At 45.3% G+C, this 26,364-nt stretch overlaps 2 protein-coding genes across 4 annotated transcripts in view, besides 1 other annotated feature; one reads left to right on the plus strand and one right to left on the minus strand.

The window, feature by feature from the left end:
• Window positions 1–215: 215 nt before the first annotated feature.
• LARP6 (La ribonucleoprotein 6, translational regulator) lies at window positions 216–25,243 on the minus strand. Of its 3 annotated transcripts, none has more exons than NM_018357.4 (3): window positions 24,975–25,243; window positions 7,381–7,591; window positions 216–4,202 (listed from the first exon to the last, which is right to left on the minus strand). In NM_018357.4, exons 1-3 carry the CDS (start codon window positions 25,172–25,174, stop codon window positions 3,138–3,140), a joined length of 1,476 nt encoding a protein of 491 aa, NP_060827.2. In that variant the 5' UTR covers window positions 25,175–25,243; the 3' UTR covers window positions 216–3,137. The 3 variants fall into 3 exon arrangements, with proteins under 3 accessions (NP_060827.2, NP_001273608.1, NP_932062.1); NM_001286679.2 differs by lacking the exon at window positions 24,975–25,243 and adding an exon at window positions 24,433–24,904; NM_197958.3 differs by lacking the exons at window positions 216–4,202; window positions 7,381–7,591 and adding an exon at window positions 22,532–22,806.
• LRRC49 (leucine rich repeat containing 49) overlaps window positions 24,464–26,364 on the plus strand; it is a 200,281-nt gene continuing 198,380 nt past the window's right edge. The window contains exon 1 of the mRNA NM_001284357.2: window positions 24,464–24,555. The gene's annotated coding sequence lies outside the window, so the exon portion shown is untranslated. The remainder of the gene's footprint in view (window positions 24,556–26,364) is intronic.
• Window positions 24,632–25,133: an enhancer, noted in NCBI's record as "H3K27ac hESC enhancer chr15:71145885-71146386 (GRCh37/hg19 assembly coordinates)". NCBI's record gives its function as "activates a minimal SCP1, AML or CMV promoter by ChIP-STARR-seq in primed H9 embryonic stem cells {active_cell/tissue: H9 hESC(primed)}" and the evidence as "EXISTENCE:reporter gene assay evidence [ECO:0000049][PMID:30033119]".

The raw sequence follows: 26,364 nt of genomic DNA on the forward strand, positions 1-26,364 counted from the left end.
GCAGCCTTGACCTCCTGGGCTCAAGCAAGTCTCTCACCCCAGTCTCCCTAGCAGCTGGGACTACAGGCGAACATCGCCCTGCCCAGCTAATTTTTTATCTTTGTAGAGCCACAGTCTTGCTATGTGGCCTAGGCTGGTCTCAAACTCCTGGCCTCAAGCAACTCTAAAGTGCTGGGATTACAGGCATGAGCCACCATGCCTGGCCCATAGGCAGGTTTGTTTATTTTTATTTTTATTTTTTTGAGATGGAGTCTCATTCTGTTGCCCAGGCTGGAATGCAGCGGCGTGATCTCGGCTCACTGCAACCTCCGCCTCCCAGGTTCAAGCAATTCTCCTGCCTCCGCCTCCCAAGTAGCTGGGATTACAGGTGCGTGCCACCATGCCCGGCTAATTTTTTTGTATTTTTAGTAGAGACAGGGTTTTACCACATTAGCCAGGATAGTCTCAATCTCCTGACCTCATGATCTGCCCGCCTCAGTCTCCTGAAGTGCTGGGATTACAGGCGTGAGCCACCGTGCCCAGCCCCATAGGCAGTTTTTAAAAGCTCTTTAGGTGACTCTAATGTGAGGCCAGGGTTAAGAATTGCAGCAAAAGGAGGCTTGCCTTTGGAGGTGATGATCAGACAGCAGGATAAGTAGTGACTAATGCCTGCAAAGCACTTTTCCATTCAGAAAGCACTTGCACATATATGACCTTATTTAAGGAACATCTTCTTGTTATCCACTGGTTTGTGGGAAGAACTGTGAACCAATAAAATAAATGACTTGCTGAAGGTCACAGTTGCTTAGTAGAAAAGCCACGACTCGACCTCAGATCTGCTGACCCCCACTTCAGGGTTCTTTTATAATGTCACACAGGGCAATACGACCAAAGGAAGGCCAAGTTCATCTGTATTCACATGTAAAGGTGAGGGTGTAGGTATTTTTAAAAGTAACTATGATCCACGAGGGTTAATCTAAAAATAGAGCTGTGACTTGTGTAACAGGCATAATAGGGTGGAACAGCCTTGAATGTCACAGGCCAAGAAGAGCTGGTGAAGCCCAGATGGCCCGATGGCCAAGGAGCAGGTGGAGTGGCTGCAGGGAAGGAGCAGGCAGGGGGTGATGGGAGCAGAGTCAGGGAGGGAAGCATAGGGCGGGGCTGGAGGGGGCCCTGACATTGCCCAAGGTCAGGAGTCCTGGTGGTCTAGGCACAAGCCTTCAGGCTACCTACAGCTGGTAGTGCTGGAAATGGCAAATCCAGAACATTGCTGGAGGCATTTGCCAGTTAACACGAACTCTTCTGCATCTTAAGGGACAAAGCATCTTACTATCCAGATCACAATCACCTGCTAATTTGTATAGAGCCATATCATTTAGGATATACTATCTTTGTCCATTTTCACAAGTTTGGGATATTATTTTCCTACTTCAGCAGCTGCATGTGTGATACTGGCATAATAATTCCTTATGATGGACACTGAGAGTAAGTGAAATGTGTCTAACCCAATGCCTAGCACGTAGGAAGGTGCTGAATAAATATTAGCACCTTTTATGGTGGATTCTTTTTTGAATATGGATAGTAAAGATCAGAAATGTTGAGTACCACTTAGTGGTTAAACAGTGTGGGCTCCAAAGCCAGACCACTAGTTTCAAGCCCAACTCTACCAATTTAGCTGTTAAGCCTTAGACAAGTTAATTACCCAAGTAAAGTCTGTTTTTTTCTGGAATAAAATAGAGATAATACCTGAACATTTCTCTTGTAGTTTTTGGGCAGATTAAATGAGATAATGCATGGAAAGCTCTTAGCATAGTCCCTGGCACCTAATCACTGTTCAATAATTATTAACAAGCTCTATTAAATCCTGCCAAATAGCCAGAGCATAAGCCAACACTGGAATCTAGGCCAATGCTCTTTCTGCTACACCAAGGCAGCTCCTGATGATAACAAACATTAACCCAAGTGAGAAGGAAAGAGAGCTAACATTTATGGAGGGCCAGCTGCATTCCAGACATGGACATCGTAACAAAGCAATTCACAGGGAGATGATGAGGTTCACGGGGCTTAGTAACCTTCCCAAGGTCACAAAATAGTGAGAGATTGGGGGTCAAATGGACTGACCTCAAGTCCTGCAGCCTTTGTCCATCCAGTGGTTCTCCAGCGTGCATCAGAATCACCTGCAGCGTTTGTTAAAACCCAAATTCCAGGCCTTTCTCCCAGACTTTCTAATTCAGTGGGCCTAGGGTTGGCCTGAGAATCTGGATTTCTAATAAGTTCCCAGGTGAGATCAATGCTGTGGGTCCTGGACTGTACACCCTCAGTATACGCCAAGCTGCCTTTGCTCAGTAAAATTCCCTGTGATGAGACACCACTCAGGCTGCCAGAAGCCCAAGGAGAGCCCTGGGGCTGCCCTGGGGTACAGTGAGAAACCCTAAATGCCCTGACTTGATCACTATGCATTATAAACATGTAACAAAGTTTCTCATGTAGCCCATAAATGTGTACAAATAAAAAAATTTTTAAATGTTCTCTTAAAGAAAAGAAAGATGTCTCTGCTAAGCTCCTCAGGGCCTCATGACATACCACCCACAGCTCTGTCAGACAGGCACAGACTTTTGTCAGGCACAATCTATAACCTCAAAGTCAGCACTCCCAGTTGGGTGTTTTATTATTTATTTACTTGACAGGTAACATCGATTTGGTCCTACAAGACACCATGCTATAGGCTTAGCTACTTGCTGTTGCACAAGAGAACTTTCCTGAACTCTCAGGAAGCCCTTGCATGGCCTATCGAGGACAGCTCAGTCACTGAAGGGAAAAATTCCATACCAAAGAAGAGAGAAAAATTCCATACCAAAGAACAGACTTCCCCCAGGGAACCTCCGTCCTACAGCCCTTCAGGGCCATCACACTCACACACATCAGCCATCATCAAAATAGTGGCCATGCTGGGAAGAACAGGAGTCCTGAACTAGAAGGTGGTCTTCAAACCATGGCGTACCGATTTATGTATATTACAGATAGATAAATTAAGAGGTCTACATGAATAAAAAATCTCTCAAAGGGGAACGAATTCCATTCTGTCATGCCAGGTGTTTGTCAGAACCTTGAAAACGAAGGTGGTTTTCAGTGGAGCTTGTATTAAAAATAGAAGGTATTTATACACAGGCCCTGCTCCTCTCATGGCCATGAAATCCTCTGGTGTTGTCAGGACCCCTGGGCAACCTCAGCACCCCTACGGGTAGCCCATCTGCAGTCTGCATCTTCCGGGAGAGCAGGGGACTCGTACCGGGGCTTTTCTCCTGGGTCCCCATCTCGGCTTGGCGACGCCTCCGGACCCAGGGGCTGCCAGAGGGAGTGACGCTGCTGTCAGAGGAATAATCCATACACTTGCGGAAGATCTCAGGGCTGGTGCTGCAGTTCAGTCTACCTTCCTCCGCCAGTGGGGACTTTCTGGAAACGCCTTTGCGTTGGGCCAAGGGGCTGCTCCAAGGACTTGTGCACGGGGAGGCATTTGGACTCAGAAAGAGATTCTGGTGGCCAGACGGGCTGAGCTTGTTGGTGGCCGCGTGCCGTCGGCCCGCCATAGGGGATGTGGGGTTGCTCTCGGGGTCAGAGGAGCTGTTGGCAGAAGACTCATCACCCATGTACTGAAGCTCCTCGACTCTCTTGTTCAGGGACTTGTTCAGGTGGATGCTCGCAGTGGGCTCCTCGTCATGATTTTTGTCTTTGGCAGGTTTCTTTTTGGGTGGCTTCATACCAATCAGGACAGCTTTCATGTTCTCTTTGCCCTGAGATTCTGTGATCATGAACTCATGGGCTTTGATGGCTGCTTCCACCTCCTCGAACTCCACGATGGCGCACTCCTGGGTCCCCACTTGGCTGTAGCGGCTGCTGATCCTCCGGATGTCAGGGGGCAGCTCTCTCCCAGGTTTGAGGATCCGCACTGATGAGATGACTCCAAAAGTCCCAAAAAGCTTGAGCAGGTGTTCCATCACCTTCTCTTGCACCCTTCCATTCTTCTGGGGGGTGGCCAGAGCCCACAGCTTAGGAGACAAGTAGAGATCATAGACCAGGAGCATCTTGCTGGGGAGGTTCTCGTTGGGGAACAGTGGGACGGGGGTGGTCCTCCTCACCTTCCGGTGGTCCTCATTCAACTCAAGGACCACTGAATACTTCAAAGCATGTGCTGTGGTTCTCCAGTCCCGTGTAAGATGTTTCACCTGCAGAACATAAAGCAAATCTGAAATAGTATCTAATGTCCTTGTCCATCCTTGTGTATGCTATAAGCTCCCTCCCTCACTTCCTTATCCCTGTAACACTAGAATCCCTGTATTCTAGTGTCTAGAATCATACGTGGTATGTGTAAACACTCAAAAATCTAGTGAATGAATAAGTGAATGAAAACAAGTTCTACCATTTCAAACAAGGGCACCACAGCAGTGTTGTCCAACAGAACTGTCCATGAAAATGGAAATATTCCATTCTGTGCAAGTTTAGAGGTTAAATTTGCAGGCTCTGGAACAAGGCTGCTGTATACACAAATCAAAGGCCCACCTCTAGCTTGAAGTAAGACTTGGAAAGTTATTCAACCTCTTAGTGCCTCGACTTGCCCTGGAAAATGGAGATGTTAATAGTGCCATCTCAAAGAGCTGTCCTGAGGATTAAACGAATCAATATATACATGTACATATGTATGTACAGACACATACAAACTCATTTACACATAAAACAGAATAGTGTCTAGCTCACAGTGAGTACTAAGTAATCATGTGCTATCATTACTTCCAATATTACATGCTATTATTTTGATAGGATTTGGAGATTTTAACATTCAAATGCTTCTCTAAAGCAGTATTTCTGCATTTCTGCATTTGATACAGAGAAGTTTCCAAAAGATCTTTCGCATTTCACTGCAATATCTCCTGAGAATGACATGGACTACTTCAACTTGAAATTAAATCCAACTTGGGCCTCACTAAGAATGGTGAAATAATCCCTCCCTCCTCCTTTGTTGGTGGAAATTGTATCAATGTTGCAGTATATGGAAGCTATATTTATACTGTAAAACAGTAATTTTCTAGAGGCCCACTTCCGGTGAAGGGAATGCCAGGGGGAATGAGTCATCCCAAACAAATAGTGAAGGTGGGTGGGGTGGGTAACCTGAGCCCGTAATGGCGAGATCCCCCTGAGTCCTCTGAGAACAGGCCAACAAGCTGCTCTGCAAAAGAACTGGGAACTCCAGGTGCCTCTGAGCATAAAACAGGAACTTCATGAAACTCAAGAAGGAAAGGCTCACTCACTGGGCAAGATGGGGAAACCTTGGCAGACCCATTACTATACACAGGCTCCTAGAGAGAGAGCACTGTCCACTGTAGCCTGTGGTCTCTGGGAGAAATGGCTCAGACTTAGGCTACTAGAAGAACACGGGTCCAAGGGCACAGAGAAGCAGGCCCAGGCAAAGGGTCGGATTTCAGGTGGACAGAGTCCATGAGGAATCCAGAAAGGGTGAAGCTGATGACTGCGGGTGCGTGTGAGGCTGTGGGAAAGCCAGGCAGTGGCTCACTGTGGGGTGAAACATGGTGAAGCCTTCTCCGAAAACAGCTAGGGAGGGAGCACTTGGGAGATAAAAAGAGACAATTTCCTAAGCCTGAAGCTTGAGCTAGGAGCACCTGGGAAAGCACAGCACTGCCTTACTCAGAGGGCTACAGAAGTCTGTGGGGGACCACATCTCACTGCAAGAGAAGCAGGCTCTGGCTAGGACTGAATATCCCTCCTGAGCCAGAAGCAAGGTCCACTGGGAAATCTCGGTTACAGTCTGAGCATCCTAAGCCTGGGTCCATGACCATTCATAAGGAAGGTCCAGGTAGCACCTGAGAAAAGGGACCAGGGAGCGTTCATCCTTGTGCAATTGCTAGAAGAACTCTAAGGTTTCCCTGTGCTTTTTACCTTTGTCATGTATGTTCCCCTTTTGTGATTAATAGGAAATCCTTCAGAATGAAAAGGATCTTTGCTCTGATTTTGGAGGTGTTAGGGAGTCTGTCTGTACTCTGCAGCCAGGTTTCAACAGAGAAGAACATTCCTAAATAGGACCATAAGTGGCAGCTTAAAGAGGAAAGCAAAACAGGCTGACTCTTGGGGTCCCTGGGGAGGAATAAAGAGACGTGCTGGATGATTCCACTGGCTGCTTCATTTTGGGATCCCCCACAAACACTTTTCATATGAAGGTTTGCTCACTGTTCTCTGACCATTAAAATATCCCTTCCATTCCCCTGTACCTAGAAAACTCCTACTCATCCTCCAAAATCCTATTTCAATGTCACCTTCTCTGGGAAGACTTCTCAGTTCTCCAGGCAGGGTTAGTTGCTCTGATCAACTAGTTCCCAATAATACTGTGTTCTCTCTTTTGTCCTACTATATGTGGTCACATTGTAATCTTTCAGATCTCTCTCCTTTATTGGACTGTGAGCTTGTCAAGGACAGGGGGAGTACGATCTTCACTCTGTACATCCTGCGCCTAGCACAGCACTCAGCAGAGACAATGAGCATATTTGATGAATGAATAAAGGAAAAAGAGCGACAGGGCCAGGCAGAGTACACCAGTGGGTGAGGCAGGGAAGAGGTCCAAGGAGAAAAGCTCTCCTCCAGTGCACTCTGACAAAGTACACAGACAACTTGGCCGGGACCCACTTGTTACGCATCCCGTTATGCAACAGGCCGCGTAGTGCTTTTCCATTCTAGTAAATGCACTTCCCCTAAGGGAGACACAGAGTTCTTACTCCAACTAGTCTGTCAACTCTCTGAGAAGTAGACAGTACACAGCCCAAACACTGGATCTATATATGGCAGGGACAAGCAGTCTGCTGCCCAGATGGCAGCAATAATTACAAATCTCATCTCCCTATTGTATAGATAAGGATGATGGCGTCACACAGGCAGAGCATGTGTGTCTTAGAGAAGGCTCATTTCTGAGAGTTCTGGGTGCTCATTCTCTCCCTTTGCTTATTCAACTTGACAAATGAAAAGCTTGAATTTCATATAATTTTAGGCCTGGCAGGTATCTCTCAAGGCCTTCGAGTCCGTCTGTCCTGGTATCACATCCTCCTGGCCACCCACTTGCCTGGCAAAAGTGCCTGAACTTTACTAAGAACAAGTAACATTGTTTCATAACTGCTGCCAGCTGAGATTTGTCCCAATGCCCAGGACCCTTTTAATAGTGTGGGAGTATATTCCTAACAATACTAAATCCCTTCTCCTAGCCATTTTTCTCTTTTTCAGGCACAGACTTAATTTTAAAAATTGTTCGTCATCAGGTTTCAAGGGAGTTAAAAAAAATGTTTAAAACCACAACCCAAAACAAACTTGAAATCCTTGAAGCAGCTTCTGAGAACCAAGCCTCACCTTTTTGAAGGATGTGAGTAGCTTAACGCTCACATATCCCAGCTTGTTCCTCCTCACGTGTTTTAGCAAAAAGGCGTCCTTCTCCAGGTTTTCATCAGAAAAGTAGAATTCGATCTGATCCACCAGTTTCTTGATCAACTCCTCATCCGGGGGCTTCCACTCCTGCTCCAGGTCCTCACGCTCGTTCTCACCTCCACTTGCAGTGGTGCCACTGAGACCAGAAGGAGACACCGGGTGTTAGGGTCAACGTTGAACTGTGTCCCCCAAAAATTCATATGCTGAAGTCCTGACCCCCAATACCTTGGAGTATGATGTTATTTGGAAATGGGGGTCACTGCAGATGCAATTAATTAAGATGAGGTCTTACTGGAGTAGGGTGGACCCCCTAATCCAACACAACTAGGGTCCTTACCAAAGGGGTAAATTTGAACACAGACATGCACACAGAGAGAACATCATGTGAAGGCGAAGGGAGAGACTGGGGTGATGTAGCAAAACTCAAGGAATGCCAAAGACTGCCACCAGAAGCGAGGAAAGATGCTTAGAATGGATCCATTTCTAGTACTTTCAGAGGGCGCATGGCCCTATTCACACCTTGATTTCGGGCTTCAGGCCTCCAGAACCATAAAACAATATATTTCTGTTGTTCTAAACCATCCAGCTCATGGTATTTTGTTACAGCAGCCCTAGGAATTGACACTGGGTCACATGGCCACAGAAGGAGAGGTTTGCCCCCAAACAGCTAAGAAGTCAATCTTTCATTTTTAACAAGCATGGAGGATCATAAAAATAATAACTGGCCAGGCATCGTGGCTCCCATCTGTAATACCAGCACTTTGGGAGGCTGAGGTAGGTGGCCTGAGCCCAGGAATTTGAGACCAGCCTGGGCAACAGAGTGGGACCCCTGTTGCTACAAAACAACAACAACAACAACAAAAATTAGCCAGGTGTGGTGGTGCATGCCAATAGTCCCAGCTACTTGGGAGGCTGAGGTGGGAGGAGAGCTTGAACCCGGGAGGTCTAGGTCACAGTGAGCCAAGATTGCACCACTGTACCCCAGACTGGGAGACACAGTGAGACCCTGTCTCAAAATAATAATAATAATAATTATTATAATAACACCCTCTGCTGACATATATGTGGCGCTCTGCCACGGGCAAAATGCTTTTCACATATACTCTCTTATTCTTCCTTCTCTACTCCATCCCCTCAAATCCTGGTTTCTAGAAGACAGTATAGCAGAGTTACTTGACCTTTCGGTAAGATCATCCATATTTATTAAAGAATAAAAGCTTGATTTCTTAGCTGGTTCAGGACAAGATCTGGAGTGCAGTGGTGCGATCTCCATGTGGATACATGACCACTGCCTCTCAGGAGTCACTGCAGTGGTGCAATCTCCATGTGGATACATGATCACTGACTCTCAAGCCATCTGCCTTGGCCTCCCAAAGTGCTGGAATTACAGATGGGAGTGTAATTTCCTAGGGCTGCCAGCTCTAGGAGTCCTGGCTTTAGAGTTAAGATTGCCTGGGTCCAAATGCTTGGTTCAGACTGAGTATCCCTTATCCAAAATGCCTGGGACCAGAAGTGTTTCAGATTTCCAATTTTTCCAGATTTTGGAATATGTGCATATACGTAATGAGATATCTCAAGGATGGGACCCGAGTCTAAACGCAAATTCATTTATGTTTCATATACACCTTATACAGATAACCTGGGGTAATCTCATGCAATATTTTTAATAATTTTGTGCATGAAACAAAGTTTCTGAACCATCAGAAAGCAAAGGTGTCGCTATCTCAGTTTTTAACCCATGTTAAATCTGTAGTGTCATGGTGGCGCTCAAAATGTTTCTGATTTTAGAGCATTTCAGATTTTGAATTTTTTGATTAAGGATGTTCAACCTGTACCATTGTTTATTAGTTAAGTAAATTTAGGCAAGGAACTCCACTGCATCTCACTTCAGTTCTATTACCTGTAAATTGGGAATCATGATAGTCCCTACCCTCATGTGAGTGTTGTGACAATTCAATGAATTAATACATGAAAATATCCAGAGGAGTGCCTAGCGTACCGTTAAAGCTCAGTAGGCACAGACAAATTCCTTCGCTAATTCATAAGAGGCAGATCTAGGATTTAAACTCAAATCCTCTGTCTCCAAAGCCAGTATACATAATACCTTATATGTTTTGCTAGGACCCTGTAATGGACTCTGGAAACAATCCCATCACGGGGTCTCTTCTTAATAAAGCCCACTATCACCAGCAGCACCACCTGGGTAGACTTCCTCCTCTCCCTCTCCCTAAGATCATTAGGTGATGAGAACAAGCCAAAGCAATCCTGGACAGAGCTTCCTTAGGAGGGCTAATCTTTCATAAGGGGATTATAACAATTTCAAACCAATAAACATTTAGAGAATACTGATTATCCGCATCATAACGGATGCCATTATTAGAAGTTAGCAGAAAGTTGCAGGTAGGTAGTTATAAGAGTTGGTTTAGCAACTCAATGTCAGGACCAGTAATCTTAACAAGGCCTATTACTGTGATCGCTTAAAGCTGGAAAAGACACATACATATATGTCCTTCAACAAAATTTTCACTGGCTCTCAGCCTCACAAAAAAAAAAAAAAAGAAAAGAAGCAACTGTGGAATACTCAAAATGAGGGAAAAAATATTCTGGCAAGAGAGAAAAAAGCAAATAAATCTATTTAAAAATTTTTCAAATTCAGAAATTATAATTAGTATAAAATATAGGCATTGGTTGATTAAAAATAAAGAGTTTTAGCTATTTGCCTGTAGGCAGCCTGGAATGGCTTTTTAAAATACCTTACTGATGTCTCAAGGTAAATGTAGAGTGAAGAAGCCTGGCACGGTGGCTCACACCTATAACCCAGCACTTTGGGAGGCTGAGGTGGGCGGACGACTTGATGTCAGAAGATCGAGACCAGCCTGGCCAACATGGTGAAACCCCATCTCTACTAAAAATACAAAAAATTAGCCGGGTGTGGTGGCACATGCCTGTAATCCCAGCTACTTGGAAGGCTGAGGCAGGAGAATCCCTTGAACTTGGGAGGTGGAGGTTACAGTGAGCGGAGATCGCACCACTGCCCTCCAGTCTGGGTGACAGAGTGAGACTGTCTCAAAAAAAAAAAAAAAATGTATAGTGAAGAAAATAATAGGGAGACTCAATTTTAAAGTTTTTTAAGTCTTGTTAAAATGGGATGATAAAAGTCAGACATTAAGCTGACTCACCCAACATCCAATAACAAACACTTTCTCAATTGCCTTTCCTTTTGTTTTTTTTGAGACAGAGTCTCGCTCTGTCGCCCAGGCTGGAGTGCAGTGGCGCAATCTCAGCTCACTGCAAGCTCTGCCTCCCGGGTTCACGCCATTCTCCTGCCTCAGCCTCCCGAGTAGATGGGACTACAGGCGCCCACCACCACGCCCGGCTTTAATTGCCGTCTTTACTCTAGAGGCTATAAAAACTTAATGTTATGGCCACTAACACTTAAGTGAAAATCTCTTGGCCCTGTCCCTTCCCCTTTTGTCTGCTTTGAATGTGGATGTGATGGTTGAATCTGCAGCAGCCATTTTACTACCATAAGGAAAAGGCCAAGAGAATTGGCTTGGCCTGATTTGTTGGCATTATTGGCCCTGACATGATTGAGTTGTTGGGCCAGCTCTTATAACTATCTACCTGCAGATTTTTTATTATTACATGAGAAAGATCAAATCCTATTTGTTTAATTCACTTGTTGGGTTTTCTGTTACTTAAACAGCCAAATACAATAGTAACCGCAGCAACACTACATGGAGAAAAGAGGTCCTCAAAACATGCCGAAGGGAAAACATCAGTGGGACAACCAATAGGATGAAAAAGGAGATGCAAGATGGACAGAACAAATTTCACTTTATTAGGGAAAGTTTATCGCCTAAATAGTAGTTAAAACAGATGGGTTGAGGCCGGGCGCGGTGGCTCACGCCTGTAATCCCAGCACTTTGGGAGGCTGAGGCAGGGGGATCACTTGAGGTTAGGAGTTTGAGACCAGCCTGGCCAACATGGTGAAACCCCATCTCTACCAAAAATATAAAAATTAGCTGGGTGTGGTGGTGGTAGCCTGTAATCCCAGCTACTCAGGAGGCTGAGGCAAGAGAATCGCTTGAACCCGGCGGGCGGAGGTTGCAGTGAGCCGGGATCGCGCCACTGCACTCCAGCCTGGGTGACAAGAGCGAAACTCCGTCTCAAACAAAAACAAACAAACAAACAAAAAACAGATGGGTTGGATATAACAGACAAAATAACTACAAATGCAAAGGGAATTCCCGGCCCAGCTAACAAAGATGTCAGTAAATCACAGGGGATGGGGCCGGGTGTGTGCTAATGGCCGGTGAAGAGTTTTGAGCAGACTCAGGGGTATTGGCAAATGGTCTAACTTACTACAAATAGCTAGTATCTCAGAAGTGACTGCACTACGAAAGGGACCCCTGTGGGGTCCTACTCCCAGGACAAGTTAGTCCTACTCCCAAACTAGAGCAATAGATGCTATTACAAAAGGTAAACTCATAAACAAATAAAGCATAATAGAAGGAAGGCAGTATAATTTCTCTTTTCTCTCTTTTTTTTTTTTTTTTTAAGAGACAGAGTCTCGCTCTTTCGCCCAGGCTGGTCTGCAGTGGCACTGTCTCGGCTCACTGCAAGCTCCGCCTCCTGGGTTCATGCCATTCTCCTGCCTCAGCCTCCCGAGTAGCTGGGATTACAGGCGCCCGCCACCGCGCCCGGCTAATTTTTTGTATTTTTAGTAGATACAGGGTTTCACCGTGTTAGCCAAGATGGTCTCGATCTCCTGACCTCGTGATCCGCCCACCTCGGCCTCCCAAAGTGCTGGGATTACAGGCGTGAGCCACCGCGCCCGGCCGGGCAGTATAATTTCTCAATCTCTCTAATGCTTATTCCAGAGCTTCCCAATCTTCCCAAGGTCGGCCATGTCTGCTTTACTGCCTGCAGATGATTCTATCTCAGACTGGATGGAGAGGATAGAGTTCATCCAATCAAGCTTCTCTAGACCTCCGTTGGGCAACTCCTTCTCCCTTTTCCTAACCTTCGCTCCAGCTTGTTCTGTGTCTCTAGACATCCATCAAAGAACTTGTAGCCATATCCAGGTGTCTCTTCTCCATCTTGGTCCTTGATATAGTTTGAATGTATGTCTTAGGCAGATCTCACGTTGAATTGTAATCCCCAGTGTTGGAGGTGGGGCCTGGTGGGAGGTGATTGAATCATGGGGTCGTTTCTCATGAATGGTATAGCACCACTCCCTTGGTGCTGCCCTCTTGATAGTGAGTTCTCATAAGACCTGGTCATTTAAAAGTATGTGGTACTCCCTCCCACCCCCACCATCACCAACTCTCTCTCTTGCTCCTGTTTCTGTGATGTGATGTGTCTGTTCTCCCTTCACCTTCCACCACAATTGTAAGCTTCCTGAGGCCTCCCCAGAAGTGGATGCTAGTGCCATGCTTCCTATACAGCCTGCAGAGCCAAGAGCCAATCAAGCCTCTTTTCTTATAAATTACCCAGTCTCAGATATTTCTTTACAGCAATGCAAGAATGGCCTCACACAGTCTTCTTGCCCCTGATGCAGGATCTGACACTATTGACCACCTTCTTCTTGATACTCTCCCCCCTGGGCTTATGTGACTTACTCTTTTCTGATTCTTCTCCCCATTTTATGTCTCCTCTTTCTCTCTCCATTTCTTTTCTTTTCTCTTTTTGAGACTGGATCTTGCTCTGTTGCCTCAAGTTGGAATGCAGTGGCATGAACACAGCTCACTGCAGCCTCAGCCTCCCAAGCTCAAGCAATCCTCCCATCTCAGCCTCCCAAGTAGCTGGGGCTATAGGAATGTGCCATCATGCCTGGCTAATTTTTCTGTTTTTTTTGTAGAGATGGGGTTTTGCCTTGTTGCTCAGACTGGTCTTGAAACCCTGGGCTCAAGTGATCCACCCACGTCAGCCTCCCAAACTGTTGGGATTACAGGTATGAGCCACCATGCCTGGCCTCTCTCCTCATTTCTAAGTGTAGGTGTTACCCAATAATCTATCCCTGACACTTTATCCCCTAGCAACCTCTACACTTCAGCTCCTATAAGCTCATCAAATTCAAATCTACCCCCCAGCCTGTCCACCGCCCCACACCTTCCTCTCCTTCCTGAGCTGCAGTCCTCAATTCCTAACTGCATGCCAGACATTTCCACTAGGACAATCTGATGTAGCATCAGATTAAATATGTCCACAATCTAACTTCTCACCTTCTGCAGAACCTGACCTCAGGCAGGACTGAAGCCTGGGCCCATCAATAGGCATTCTATCTGGGAAGCTGACCTTCCTTTCACACAGTCTCACAGTAGACTATCCATAATGTATTGGGGGTGACTCTGCATCAATTATTTGCACCCACTGAGCAGACAGGCAGATAGCCAGAGATTCCAGAACAGGTGGATGATACTGTGGAGGTGATATAAACCCCTATACGAGTGCAGAGGTGAGCTTCTTGTGCTTGGAGGACTCCACCCTCTGCATGAGTGCTGTCAGCAGCAACTATGCATCTCCAAAGGGGGATCTTGGGGGAGTTGAAAAGCCTATGTTATATCCAGGAGCAGGCTGCATTGTTTCCTGTTTGTGAAATAGCCTTCAAATGGGAAAAGATACCATATCTTTTATGAATATTAATTTTATATCCTTTAAACCTGAATATTGTCAACTTATTGCCGATTACAACCATCCTGTGACAATCATTTATCTTCCCTTCCAACCCACCCCCCAACTACTTTCCCTATTCACTCTTCTATGTACTTAAGCTCAAGACCTAGGATGTGTCCTTTCACTCTCTCTTTTGCCCCCACATTTAGTCAATTATAAAGTGCTTATTTCATTTTGCAGGGTCTCCCATCTGTTCTCTCTTTGCCATTCCAACCATCCTCATTATTTCTCCCTTGGATACTTATTAATAGCTCATCAAAACATTTTTCCAAAAAATTAAAGTAATAGATAAACATAGCAAAAACTAGAATAAAATAGTAGGGAACTTATAAAGAAATCAACAATTCCCCATTCCACCTTTCCTCCCTAGAGGTAACTTCTCTTCAGCCATTTAATTCTTAGGAGAGTTATCTCATAGCTCTATAAAATATGCTTATAGCTCTATTTCTCACTTGCCAACCGTAGTCATTCTCTATTCATGTCTTACTACATAAAATGAGTATTTGGGGTCACTTATGACTTATGTCCCTAAATAACCCCTTCTTCAAATTTTCTTTTAGTTTTGGTTCTTCTATTAGCCTTTTATTTATGGTTTTGGTGTCTTTTTTTTTTTTTTTTTTTTTTTTGAGACGGAGTCTCACTCTGTCGCCCAGGCTGGAGTGCAGTGGCATGATCTTGGCTCACTGCAACCTCTGCCTCCTGGGTTTAAATGATTCTTCTGTCTCAGCCTCCTGAGTAGCTGGGATTACAGGCGCACGCTGCCACGCCCGGCTAATTTTTTGTATTTTAGTAGAGACAGGGTTTCACCGTGTTGCCCAGGCTGGCCTCAAACTCCTGAGCTCAGGCAATCTGCCCACCTCGGCCTCCCAAAGTGCTAGGATTACAGGCGTGAGCAACCGCGCCCGACCTTTTTTTCTTTTTTTTTTTTTAAGACAGTCTCACTCTGTCGCCCAGGCTGGAGTGCAGTGGTGCGATCTCGGCTCACTGCGACCTCTGCCTCCCAGGTTCAAGCAATTCTCCCACCTCAACCTCTCAAGTAGCTGGGACTACAGGCACACACCACCCCACCCAGCTAATTTTTGTATTTTTAGTAGAGACAGAGTTTCACCATGTTGGCCAGGCTGGTCTCAAACTCCTGACCTCATGTGATCTGCCTGCCTCAGCCTCCCAATGTGCTGGGATTACAGGTGTGAGCCACCATGCCCGGCCCTATTTGTGTTTTAAAATAATATACTTTAAGTGGTTTCTTATTCCATAAACATTAAAAAGTATTTTTCAATTCCTTGCTACGTGATATATTAATACACACTATTGTCCTACTCTCTCTTCCATCTCACCTATTTCCAACCTTCCATATTGCATCAGATGTACTTTTATTTCATTTTGCCATGGTTCATAATATTTCATTCCATTCGGTAACTAATATTCTATATTTTATCTATAGATACATACTGAAAGTTGAAAGTCAATCAGTTGTATTTTATTATTATGACTATGTAAACACTGTTCCCTACAGGGCTAAGTCATTTGCTAAGATTACATTTCTTGTCTCAAAGTCCTATTAGTTGACTGACCACCTGGATTGGTCCTCTATGTTTATTTTTTCTTTCATATGCTCTGTCTTTGTCTTTGTAATTTACACACTAAGAGATTTCTTTGACATTATATTCTAACCTTTCCTACAGAATTTTTAAATTTTAGTAGTTATTTATTTAGTTTCTAAGAACTGTTTTTGATCCTAGATAATTCCCTTCTAAGAGCTTCCTACTCTTGTTTTGTGGATGCAGTATCTTAAGTTCACTCTCAGGGTGCTAGTTGGAGTATACATTTTTGAGTCTTTTGTTTCAACATCATCACCTCTGTATCCTTTGGGGTCAGTTCTTCCATTTAACTTTCATGCCACTGATTTTCTTCAAGTGACTAAGAAATAATTCATTTTTTCTTTATTAAAGGGTTTAATAAACTTATTTTAGAATAGTTTTAGATTTACAGAAAAGTTGTGAAAATTGTACAGAGAGTTCCCATATATATACACCCAGGCTTGCTCTGTTATAAATATCTTGCATTAGTATGGTACATGTGTTACAACCAATGAACTAATTACAATTAGTTCATTAGTTCATTATATATTATTATTACCTAAAGTCCATATTTTATTCAGATTTCCTTAGTTTTGCCTATTGTCCCTTTTTCCGTTCCAGGATCCCATCCAGGACACCACAATACATTAACACATTAAGCTGTCATGTCTCCTGAGGCTCCTCTTGGCTGTGACAGTTTTCCTTGTTTTTGATGACCTTGACAGTGTTAAGAAGTACTGGTTAGGTATTTTGTGGAATGTCCCTCAACTGGGATTTTTCTGATGTTCTCTGTCATGATTAGACTGGGATTATGGGTTTTTGGCGGGAGGACCACAGAGGTAAATTTCCATTCTCAGCACATCCTATCAGGGTAGATGCTATCAACATGAATGATCACTGTGGATGCTAACCTTGATCACCTATCTGAGGTAGTGTTTGTCGGGTTTCTCCCCTGTAAAACCACTCCCTTTATCCCCACTCCCATACTGTGCTCTTTGGAAGAAGGCCACTGTACACAGCCCACACTTAGGGTGTGGGGAGTTATACTCCACAGCTATTCACTGTGAAGACAAAAGGTACATGCTGCTTTTTCTTAGTGGGTTGTATGGGTTCCCTCTGCAGTTGCACACTCCCACTGGTTTTCTTCCTAGATGGCTCTATGTACACAGGTGGGGCATGCCAAGTGGCAGGCTTCACATGAGGGTGAGCAGGCAGGGAATGATTAAGCTGGGGGCTCTACCCAAATGGCAAAGGCTTTACTCTGCGGCTGCCAGCTCTGCTTTCGCATCCCTAGATCTCCGTAGTGAGCTCATTCAATTCCTTTAGAAAATAATCTTGTCTCTTTTTTTTCCCCCTTAAAAATAAAATACCTGCTACTTTCCACTGGCAGACAGAAAGGCTAGGAAATTGTTCTAAAGGAAGAATTTAAATTACCTTTCAGATATTTGTAGCCCTTTTTACTCCTGCATCTTTGGTATATTTCCCAACCAGAGTCTTTCTAGGGTTCTGTCTTCCCACCTCCTGCCACCTCCCATGTTATATTTTAGGCTACAGCCTCCTCCACTCTGTGCCATATTACATGTTTTGAAGAACAGCTAGAGTATGTCACTGCTTTACTTGATGTCACTGATTTACTTTAATAATAATAATAAAAGCTTTTCTATTTCCTGTTAAATAAAATTCAAACTCTTCGGCTCCCAACCAGGCACGGTGGCTCACGCCTGTAATCCCAGCACTTTGGGAGGCCAAGGCCGGAGGGTCATTTGAGGCCAGGAGTTCGAGACTAGCTTGGGCAACGTAGCAAGACCCTGTCTCTACAAAAAATTTAAAAATTAGCCAGGTATGGCCGTGCACACCTGTAGTCTAGGCTATTTGGGAGGCTGAGGTGGGAGGATTGCTTGAGCCCAGGAGGTCGAGGCTACAGTAAGCCATGACTGCGCCACTGCACTCTAGCCTGAGTGACAGAGTGAGACCCTGTCTCAAAAAATAAATAAATACATACATACATACATACATACATACATAATAAAAAAAAAACCAACAAAGTCTTCAGCTCCTTATTCAGACTCATTTAGAATCTGGCTGTAACCAGCATCAAAACTTATTTCCATCGGTTTCCTTTCAGATCCTTTGCTCCAAACAAACAGAAAGACATAGTTATCTGTAAGTGTCACAAGCTTTCTGGACTCTGTGCCTTTGAGCTTGCTGTTCCTGTCTCTGAATGCCTTGCTCCTCTCTCTCGGGTCTAAATTCTAGTCACACATTAAGGTCCATCTTAAATGCAATTCTCCTAGGAAGAAAAAATCATTTCTACTTCTCCCAACACTTATCTATATTTGTATTATAGCTACTTGTGTGCACATTTTATTAGCAGCCCGAACACTGAGTTGAGAGTAGAACTCAAGCTGGTTTCTTTCATTATAGTATTACCCCAGAGCCTTGCATGTAATGGGAATTTAAAAAGTATCACCAATGTAAAGCAAATAGTTTTGAGGGCAAATCATACCTATCAGGATCCTTTGAGGGAGGAAGTATGGTTTCTGATGAATATGCTCTTAGTGGCCTTTCAAGGAGGCTTGAAAAAGTTTTACACTTAAGGTTTTGCTTTGTTTTGTTTTTTAACAAAACATTGTAAACTGGGAGTGATGAGGTCTTTTGTTATAGCTATAAACCTGTGAGAAATGGGTAGAAATAAAGGGGTACATTTTAAAACAGGTAATTGGGTTCCATGAATCAGTGCTGAATTTTTTTTTTTTTTTAAATATGTTGTCTCACTCTATCGCCTAGGCTGGAGTGCAGTGGCACTATCTTGGCTCACTGCAACCTCTGCCTCCTGGGTTCAAGCGATTCTCCCGCCTCAGCCTCCTGAGTAGCTGGGACTACAGGTGCGCACCACCATGCCTGGCTAATTTTTGTATTTTTTAGTAGAGACAGTGTTTCATCGTATTGGCCAGGCTAGTCTCAAACTCCTAACTTTGTGATCTGCCCACCTTGGCCTCCCAAAGTGCTGGGATTACAGGTGTGTCATATTTGTAAATGATTTAGAGAAACAAAAGGATTTGTAGCATAAAACATCCAAGGCTACTTTTTTCATAAAATATCGAATCTGGTTACACTGATTGCGCAGTTAATCGAATGATACCCTATAGGAGGAGAATATCCAAACTAAGATGGTGGAATAATGAGACCCTCACTACAGCTTTCAATCCAGGAATGATTTTTCAGACTCATTGTCTATCATTGCAGATGGTGGAATATGGTATTTTGACCACCAAGACCAAGAAAATGGTGGACACCAATAAGGAAGGTACCAAACACAAAAACATCATTTATGAAAAACACTAGGGTCCAGGTCCTGTCTGTGTGAGATTTCTTTTGACTCACCTCTAGAACAAGATAATGAATGTGAAATGGTTCAAAAAGGGCAAATTGATAATGCAATATAAAAACACCAGGGCAGATTCAAAAGATAAGGATTTTTCACTGAGACAGATTGAAAACATATACAGGTATGTTCTCAACTTTGTTAAAGGCATCACCCTTTTACAAACCATATTTTGGATGGTGCTAGCAGGGGGCACATGTTATGCTTGCGTGGCCCATGGGTTCTTATATATTTATTACAGAGACATGAACTTCCTCTCTGACCCTGTCTTCTGCCATGCTGTTCTGGCATAAGCCTTTGAGCCTGGGAAAGGGATATACAACTAGTGGATGTCTCCATGGGTCTAAATAATGATTCGTAGTTTGGAGTAGAGACTACGTATATCAGGCACTTAGTTCTACATCTGACAAAAAAATTGACATTAATAAAAAAGCAGAGGCCAGGCGTGGTGGCTCACGCCTGTAATCCCAGCACTTTGGGAGGCCAAGGTGGCCAGATTACTTGAGGTCAGGAGTTCGAGACTAGCCTGGCCAACATGGTGAAACCCTGTCTCTACTAAAAATACAAAAATTAGCCGGGCATGGTGGCAGGTGCCTGCAATCCCAGCTACTCGGGAGGCTGAGGCATAAGAATCACTTGAACCTGGGAGGCGGAGGTTGCAGTGAGCCAAGATGGTGCCACTGCCCTCCACCCTGGGTGACAGAGCAGGACTCTGTCTCAAAAAAAAAAAGTAGAGGCTTTCATTATCACCATCCAAAGCAGGGAAAAGACAGCCTGTACAATGTCCCAAAAACATCATGGAAAAAAAGAGAAACCTAGAAGATTGTGTTGTTAAATTAAAAGCAGGTGGCTCAATGGTTTTTATTGTTCATATTAATATTTAATATTATAACTTTGAATCATTTTTACACATTGTAATACAAAGAAAATAAGTAATTATGTTAATGTTATTAGGAACCAAGATTTTCAGTATAATAAATAAAAGAAGTAAACAGCAAAAATCCTGTAATGTAAATTTGAATTGGAATTATTGATATAAGTGTTTTTTAAAAAACATATTTCTTGGCCGGGCATGGTGGCTGACGCCTGTAATCCCAGCACTTTGGGAGGCCAAGGCAGGTGGATCACGAGGTCAGGAGTTTGAGACCAGCCTGGCCAACATGGTGAAATCCCGTCTCTATTAAAAATACAAAAATTAGCTGGGCATAGTGGCAGGCGCCTGTAATCCCAGCTACTCAGGAGGCTGAAGCAGGAGAATCGCTTGAACCTGGGAGGTGGAGGTTGCAGTGAGCCAAGATCAGGTCATTGCACTCCAGCCTGGGCGACAAGAGCAAGACCCTGTCTCAAAAACAAAACAAACAAACAAACAAACAAACAAAAAAATATATATATATTTCTTAGTTCTGTCCACTGAAAGGCTCTGAAAGCAACAATACCCTGGCAGAAGTTAGCTTTCCTAATTCCAGGTCTTAGTTTCTAAATACTTTCTTACTGGTATTTGAAAAAAGCAGAGATTACTGTGGAAATGGCTGAATTCCATGACTGGAGTAGGAAAAGTACAAATTATGCCTGGAATACTAGTACCAGAAAGCAAAGAAGTGCTTAAAGACTAATGGGCATGTTACAAAAAGACACAAGGAGGCCAGCTTCAAGGGGGTCTGCTGGCTGCAATATAGACATTTTGAGCACCAAAAATGACTGTGATGAATTATTAAAAAGTGAATAAATACAAATCTATGAATTGGAGAGAGAGGAAGAGTATAAGCTTGAGGAAGAGCCCTCATTTAAATTATTTAGTGTGACTATTATATCAAATTATCTCTTTGAAAACTGTAATTAAAGGGAAATAATTAAGCATTTTTTTGCCTCTTTAGGAGAAACTTTTGTTCAATCCAGATGATGAGACAAAGCTTTTTTTAAAAAAAAATAGAGCAATGCTGGCTAATAAGTGTACAAAAAATGTGAAAATTAGAAAATCCTCAATTTCCAGTCCCCAGTGAAATAACCAACTTAGGTAAGGATCATCAATAGATGCTAAAATAATTAGGTGAAAAGTCATTGGGGAAAGAATATTGCAAGAGGAATGGAAAACTTGGAAGAAATGCATACATTCCTAGAAACATGAAACCTACCAAGACTGAATTATGAAGAGACAGAAAATCTGAACAGACCAATAACAAGTAAGGAGATTGAATCAGGAATCAAAAATCTCCTATCAAAGAAAAGCTCAAGGCCTGATGGCTTCATTGCTGAATTCTACTAAACATTTAAAGAACAACTAATACCAATACTTCTCAAACTCTTCTAAAACTTTGAAGAGGAGGGAATGCTTCCAAACTCATTTCACAAGGCCAGCATAACCCTGATACTAAAGCCAAACAAGGAAAACTATGGGCCAATATCCCTGATGAACATAGATGCAAAAATCCTCAGCAAAATATTAGCAAACTGAATTCGACAGCATCTTGAAAGGATCATTCACCAAGATCAAGTGAGATTTATCCCTGGGATGCATGCATGGATCTACATATGCAAATCAATAAGTGTGATACATCAACAGAACCCAGGATGAGAAGCCCACAAATAACTTGTTAACTGCAAAGGGAAAGACAACCTGTACGATGGAGAAATCTCCTTAATCGAATGGTCAAATTTAGCATCACTAAGGGTGGGATGGCTCCTGAAGTGATGGAACATCAAGTTCCAGGCACAGAGTATGAGGCATTCTTGACAAAAGGTTTAAACAGAATCAAATCAAAACCTTAGCCCTATCTTTCAGTTTATAAGAAGCACATGGTACAAAGGAGCAAGTAAAATAAGATCATGAGAACATTACCAGACTAATCCAAAATGTGAGACATTCAACAAGATGTCTGACCTCTTCTGTCCAAAATAGCAAAGCATTAGGGAAAAAAAATGGTGGAAATTTCTAGATTAATAGAGTCTAGAGACATAAGAAGCAAATGCCTCAACCCAGACCATATTCTGGTTTGAGGGGAAAAAAGAAACAGCTGTAAAAGACAATTGTGGCACAATTTGGGGAATCTTGAATGTGGAACTTGGCTATTAGCTTATCTTCAGGATTATATTAGGGAATGATAGTTAATTTTCTCAGTTGCAATAATAGTGTTAGGGCTTTATAGGGAATGTCATTAGGAGTTACAAAATGAAGTATTTAAGGTATAATCTTGTGTAAAACATACCTCAAATGGTTCGGGGAAAACACATACATTGTATATCCATTCACCAAATATGGCAAAATGTTGTGTTAAATCTAGATGATGGGTATATGAATGCTCATAGTACTATTTTTTCATATTTTCTTTATGTTTGAAAATTTTTATGTTAAAAAGGTGAGAATAAAAGGAAAGGCATCTTTTTAATGAAGGAGATGTGGGGAGATGATCAATAACATTTTAGAGGCTGTAAAGACTTTTCTTTATTGTTCATTTATTCTGTTCCCTTATATAAGCTAGGTATTAGGCTAGGTATGGAAATACAAAAAGGAATAAGATAAGGCAGCTGCCTTCAAGGATCTCACTGTCTAGGGAAGGGGAAACACAAATATCTCAACACCATTGAGTGAGTGTGATGATAGAGATACGCATTCAGTCAACAAACATGTCCTATGTGCTGGGTGCTGTGCTAGGTGCTGAAGATACAATGAACGAAGCAAGCATGGTCCTTGAATTCACCGAGCTCCTATTCCTGTGAGGGAGACACAATGATAGAATCACAATTGTGGAAGGTGCTAGGCATAAAATGTACAGAGTACTACAGCAACAGAGAAGAAAGGAAACACAGCCAGCTCTGGGGTGGGGATTGGGGGTGGTGGAGAAGAGGCAGCGAAGTTTTAAAGGCTGACTAGAAATCAGTCAATCAGAGGACCTAGAGGTGGGGGTGCAGAGGCATGTAGACACAAAATAGCCCCCTATGCTCAGGGAACTAGCTGGAATCACGGGAGCGTGAACTGTTGACAGCGTGAACTGTTGAGGCAATGGGCTGAGGAGATGATGTGAGTGGGTGTCACATCTTAATGAGCAGATTGAGGAATCTGGGTTTTCTCCTGTAGGCTCCAGGAGCTGAGAACATTCACATCGGGTGATGGCTGCTGCCATGCGAGCCTGGGTCCAAACAGGGGATAGTGTGGATCCTGTTCTTGGCTACATCTCCTCCTGCTCTGGGTGCCTGCCCACTGGGCTCTGTCAGCTCACCGAAGAACCCCAGGGATTTTCTGGGGTCAACTCTATGCCAGTGGGCAGCAGGAAGGGCTTCAGACTGAACACTTGCTGAGACTCAAGCCACGGGAGCTGGGCAGTTCTGGAGGAAGAGCAAGAGGGGTTCAGGCAAGAGGCCTACCCATACTGAGGCTTGGTTTCTCCTAGACCTCCATAGGGGATCTTTCCAGGCCTTAAACATAAGTAGAGCTTTAATCCTGGCTAATGATACAATCTCACAAATTTAGCCCTCAGGATAGGGATGGCTATTTGCCACTGCCACAGGAAAATAAAGTTATAAGGATAAACCACTTGGGGCTATTTTACATACTCTGATATTGTCTGACTAGGGGACTGCCTTCTCGAGACTGTGAGCTGTCAGTGACTAAGGGTTCATCATTTTTATGCTCTCGGTACTTGGCACAGAGCTAAACGAATCAGGCCTTGCATTATAAAGCACTGATCTATCTACTTTGTCATACACTATGGTCCAGCTTTCCTGCCCTACCCTGGTGGGCTGACTTTTCTCCCCTAACAACTGTCTCTACTGGTCTGCCCCGAATCTCTGGGTCCAGAAGTCTGACCCTTTAACCTGGGGAAGGGTGAGCCAGTAATAGAGAATGGCTCTGGGCCCAGTATTCTTCCACCCTTGAGTTGAGTATTCTCCCAGTGAAGTAGATATACGCTTGCCAGGACAATCCTGCAGAACCTTAACAGCTAAACGCCTGGGACAGGGTCCTAGAAGAAAGAGAGCTCCTAATAAGTGCCTGTTGGCATCCACCAGAATGTGCAAGTTCTGTCATTTCCCCACTCTCATGTCTATGTCTATGTTTTATCTCCTTTCAACAGCAGGAACAAAACACCAGTCCTTAAGGGCCTGGGCATTAGTGGACAGGAGCCAAGGTGCCTGAGGACAAAGCTCGGGACCCGGGACAAGGTTAAACAAGTGCCATAGCAGCTCCAAACTACCCAAAACCCAGGAACACCCCCCCCCCGCCCCCCGCAAGGCAGCAAGATGATGCAAACATAAAGGTCTGGTGGGAAAGGCTGTGTGAAAATGGGAATCCCCCAGGGCGGAGGAAGTAAAGCAGCAAGTCCTCTATCCGTCTCAAATTACCTTGAAATCCCACCTCCTGGAATCCCCCATCAGCAAGTGTCCGCTGTACCTGGCCTGCTACCACCTAAAGACTGAGCGCAGCCAGCAGGACTGGGAAAGGCAGGGCGATGATGGCAGTGAAGGGTAAGCGGGACCACTCGCAAGGGGAGGGGAAGGCGGGTAGGGATGGACTTTGCGGCGATGGGGAGGTGGTGTCTTGAGGGAGCCCACAGAGAAGAGGCCTCCTCCAGAGGAGGGGGTGGCTTGGATGGCCCGTGAAAGTCCTCCTCCTGGATCCCTGAACATCCCCACGTCCAGGCCCCTCAGATCCCGGCCGCCAGCCCTGGGAGCCTCGGTTGGGCGACGAAGCTGCGGGCTGGGGCACCGGCTGCCTCCACGGGCCGGTTCTGACTCAGGGGCTCGGCCCGGAGCTGCTTCCCCGGCGGCGGGGCTGACTCAACCCCCTCTGCCCGAGGAGTTGTCGCGCGCAGTCAGCGCCCCGAACTCGCGCGCGGCCCGGCGCCCCCTCGGGGCCCACCTCCCGGGCCAGCCGCCGCGCCTACCTGTGCCCGCGGCTCGGCTCCTCCTCGCTCGCGCTGCCCCAGCCGGGGCTGAGGTACCGGGCCGGGTCCCCGGCGCCCCGAGTCTCCGCCCCCTCCTCCTCGTCCTCCAACTCGTCCACGTCCTCGGCCTCCTGGATGGCGACGCGGATCTGCACCGCCGTCTTGGGCCCGGGCCGAGCCTCCCCGCCGGACTGGGCCATGGCTCGCGGGACTGCGGCGCCGCCGGGGTCCTCACGCCGCAAGGCCCAGCCAGCCGGTCGGCAGCGACTGCGACGAGGGGGCGGGGGCGGTGCGAGCGCGCCTGCCGCTCGGCCCAGGGGAGGGACAGGGGTCGCGGCGCCCCGCCCCGCGCCGCCGCCGCCGCCGCCGCCGCCGCCACCACCCCGACCGCTAGTGGAGCGCCCGCGCAGGCGGGGCCTCGGAGGTGGAGGGCGGCTTTCCGGAGCTCCTCCGACGGAGGCCCGTCCCGGAAGGATCCCCGCGACCCCCGATCACTCCCTCCGTCTTTTCGCCGCTGTGGGGCCCCAGCCCGAGAGGAGGTGTCAGGGCTCCCTCCTCCTGCGCCTTCTTTCACGGCGCCGCAGGGATGGGCGCAGCACAGCTGACTTCTGTTTGTGCTTGACTCCGGGGGTGGCAGCCAGAGACCACAGCTCCAGGGGCTTCCAGGCCTCCTGCGTGTCTCCCCCACTGGCCTGCCAAGATCAGAAAATTTCCATCGTTAGTCTCCTTGACATAATAACCACCCTAGACCGCGTCTTAGGAGGTCAGGGGCTTGGCTCCTGCCTTGCCCTGTATCAGTTTTTCTCCAAGTGTGGTTCCCAGACCAGGAGCATCAGCTGCACCGGGGAACTTGTTAGAAATTGAATTCTCAGGGCTCATCCAGACCTCCTGAATCAGAATCTATGATTCAGAACTTTGTGTTTTAACAAGGCCTCTAGGTGATGCTGAAGTTCACAAAAGTTCGAAAGCCGATGGCCTATAGAGTATGCCCTGCACATAGTATGCACTCAGATGTTTGTTGAATGAATAAAGGGAGCTATTGAAATGTCAGGATGTTCTAAAACACTGCCACCTTTTCACGTGTAACTTCAAATTGAGTTCCATCTCACCTCTCCAAATGTGACCCAGAAACTAGGGACAGGAGCATAGAAATGAATAAGACCGGCCGGGCGCAGTGGCTCAAGCCTGTAATCTCAGCACTTTGGGAGGCCCAGGCGGGCGGATCACGAGGTCAAGAGATCGAGACCATCCTGGCCAACATGGTGAAACCCTGTCTTTACTAAAAAAAATACAAAAATTAGCTGGACGTGGTGGCACGTGCCTGTAATCCCAGCTACTCGGGAGGCTGAGGCAGGAGAATCACTTGAACCTGGGAAGCAGAGGTTGTGGT

This window comes from Homo sapiens, chromosome 15 (genome assembly GCF_000001405.40).
Source record: "Homo sapiens chromosome 15, GRCh38.p14 Primary Assembly".
In the NCBI taxonomy this organism is placed as follows: Eukaryota; Metazoa; Chordata; class Mammalia; order Primates; family Hominidae; genus Homo; species Homo sapiens.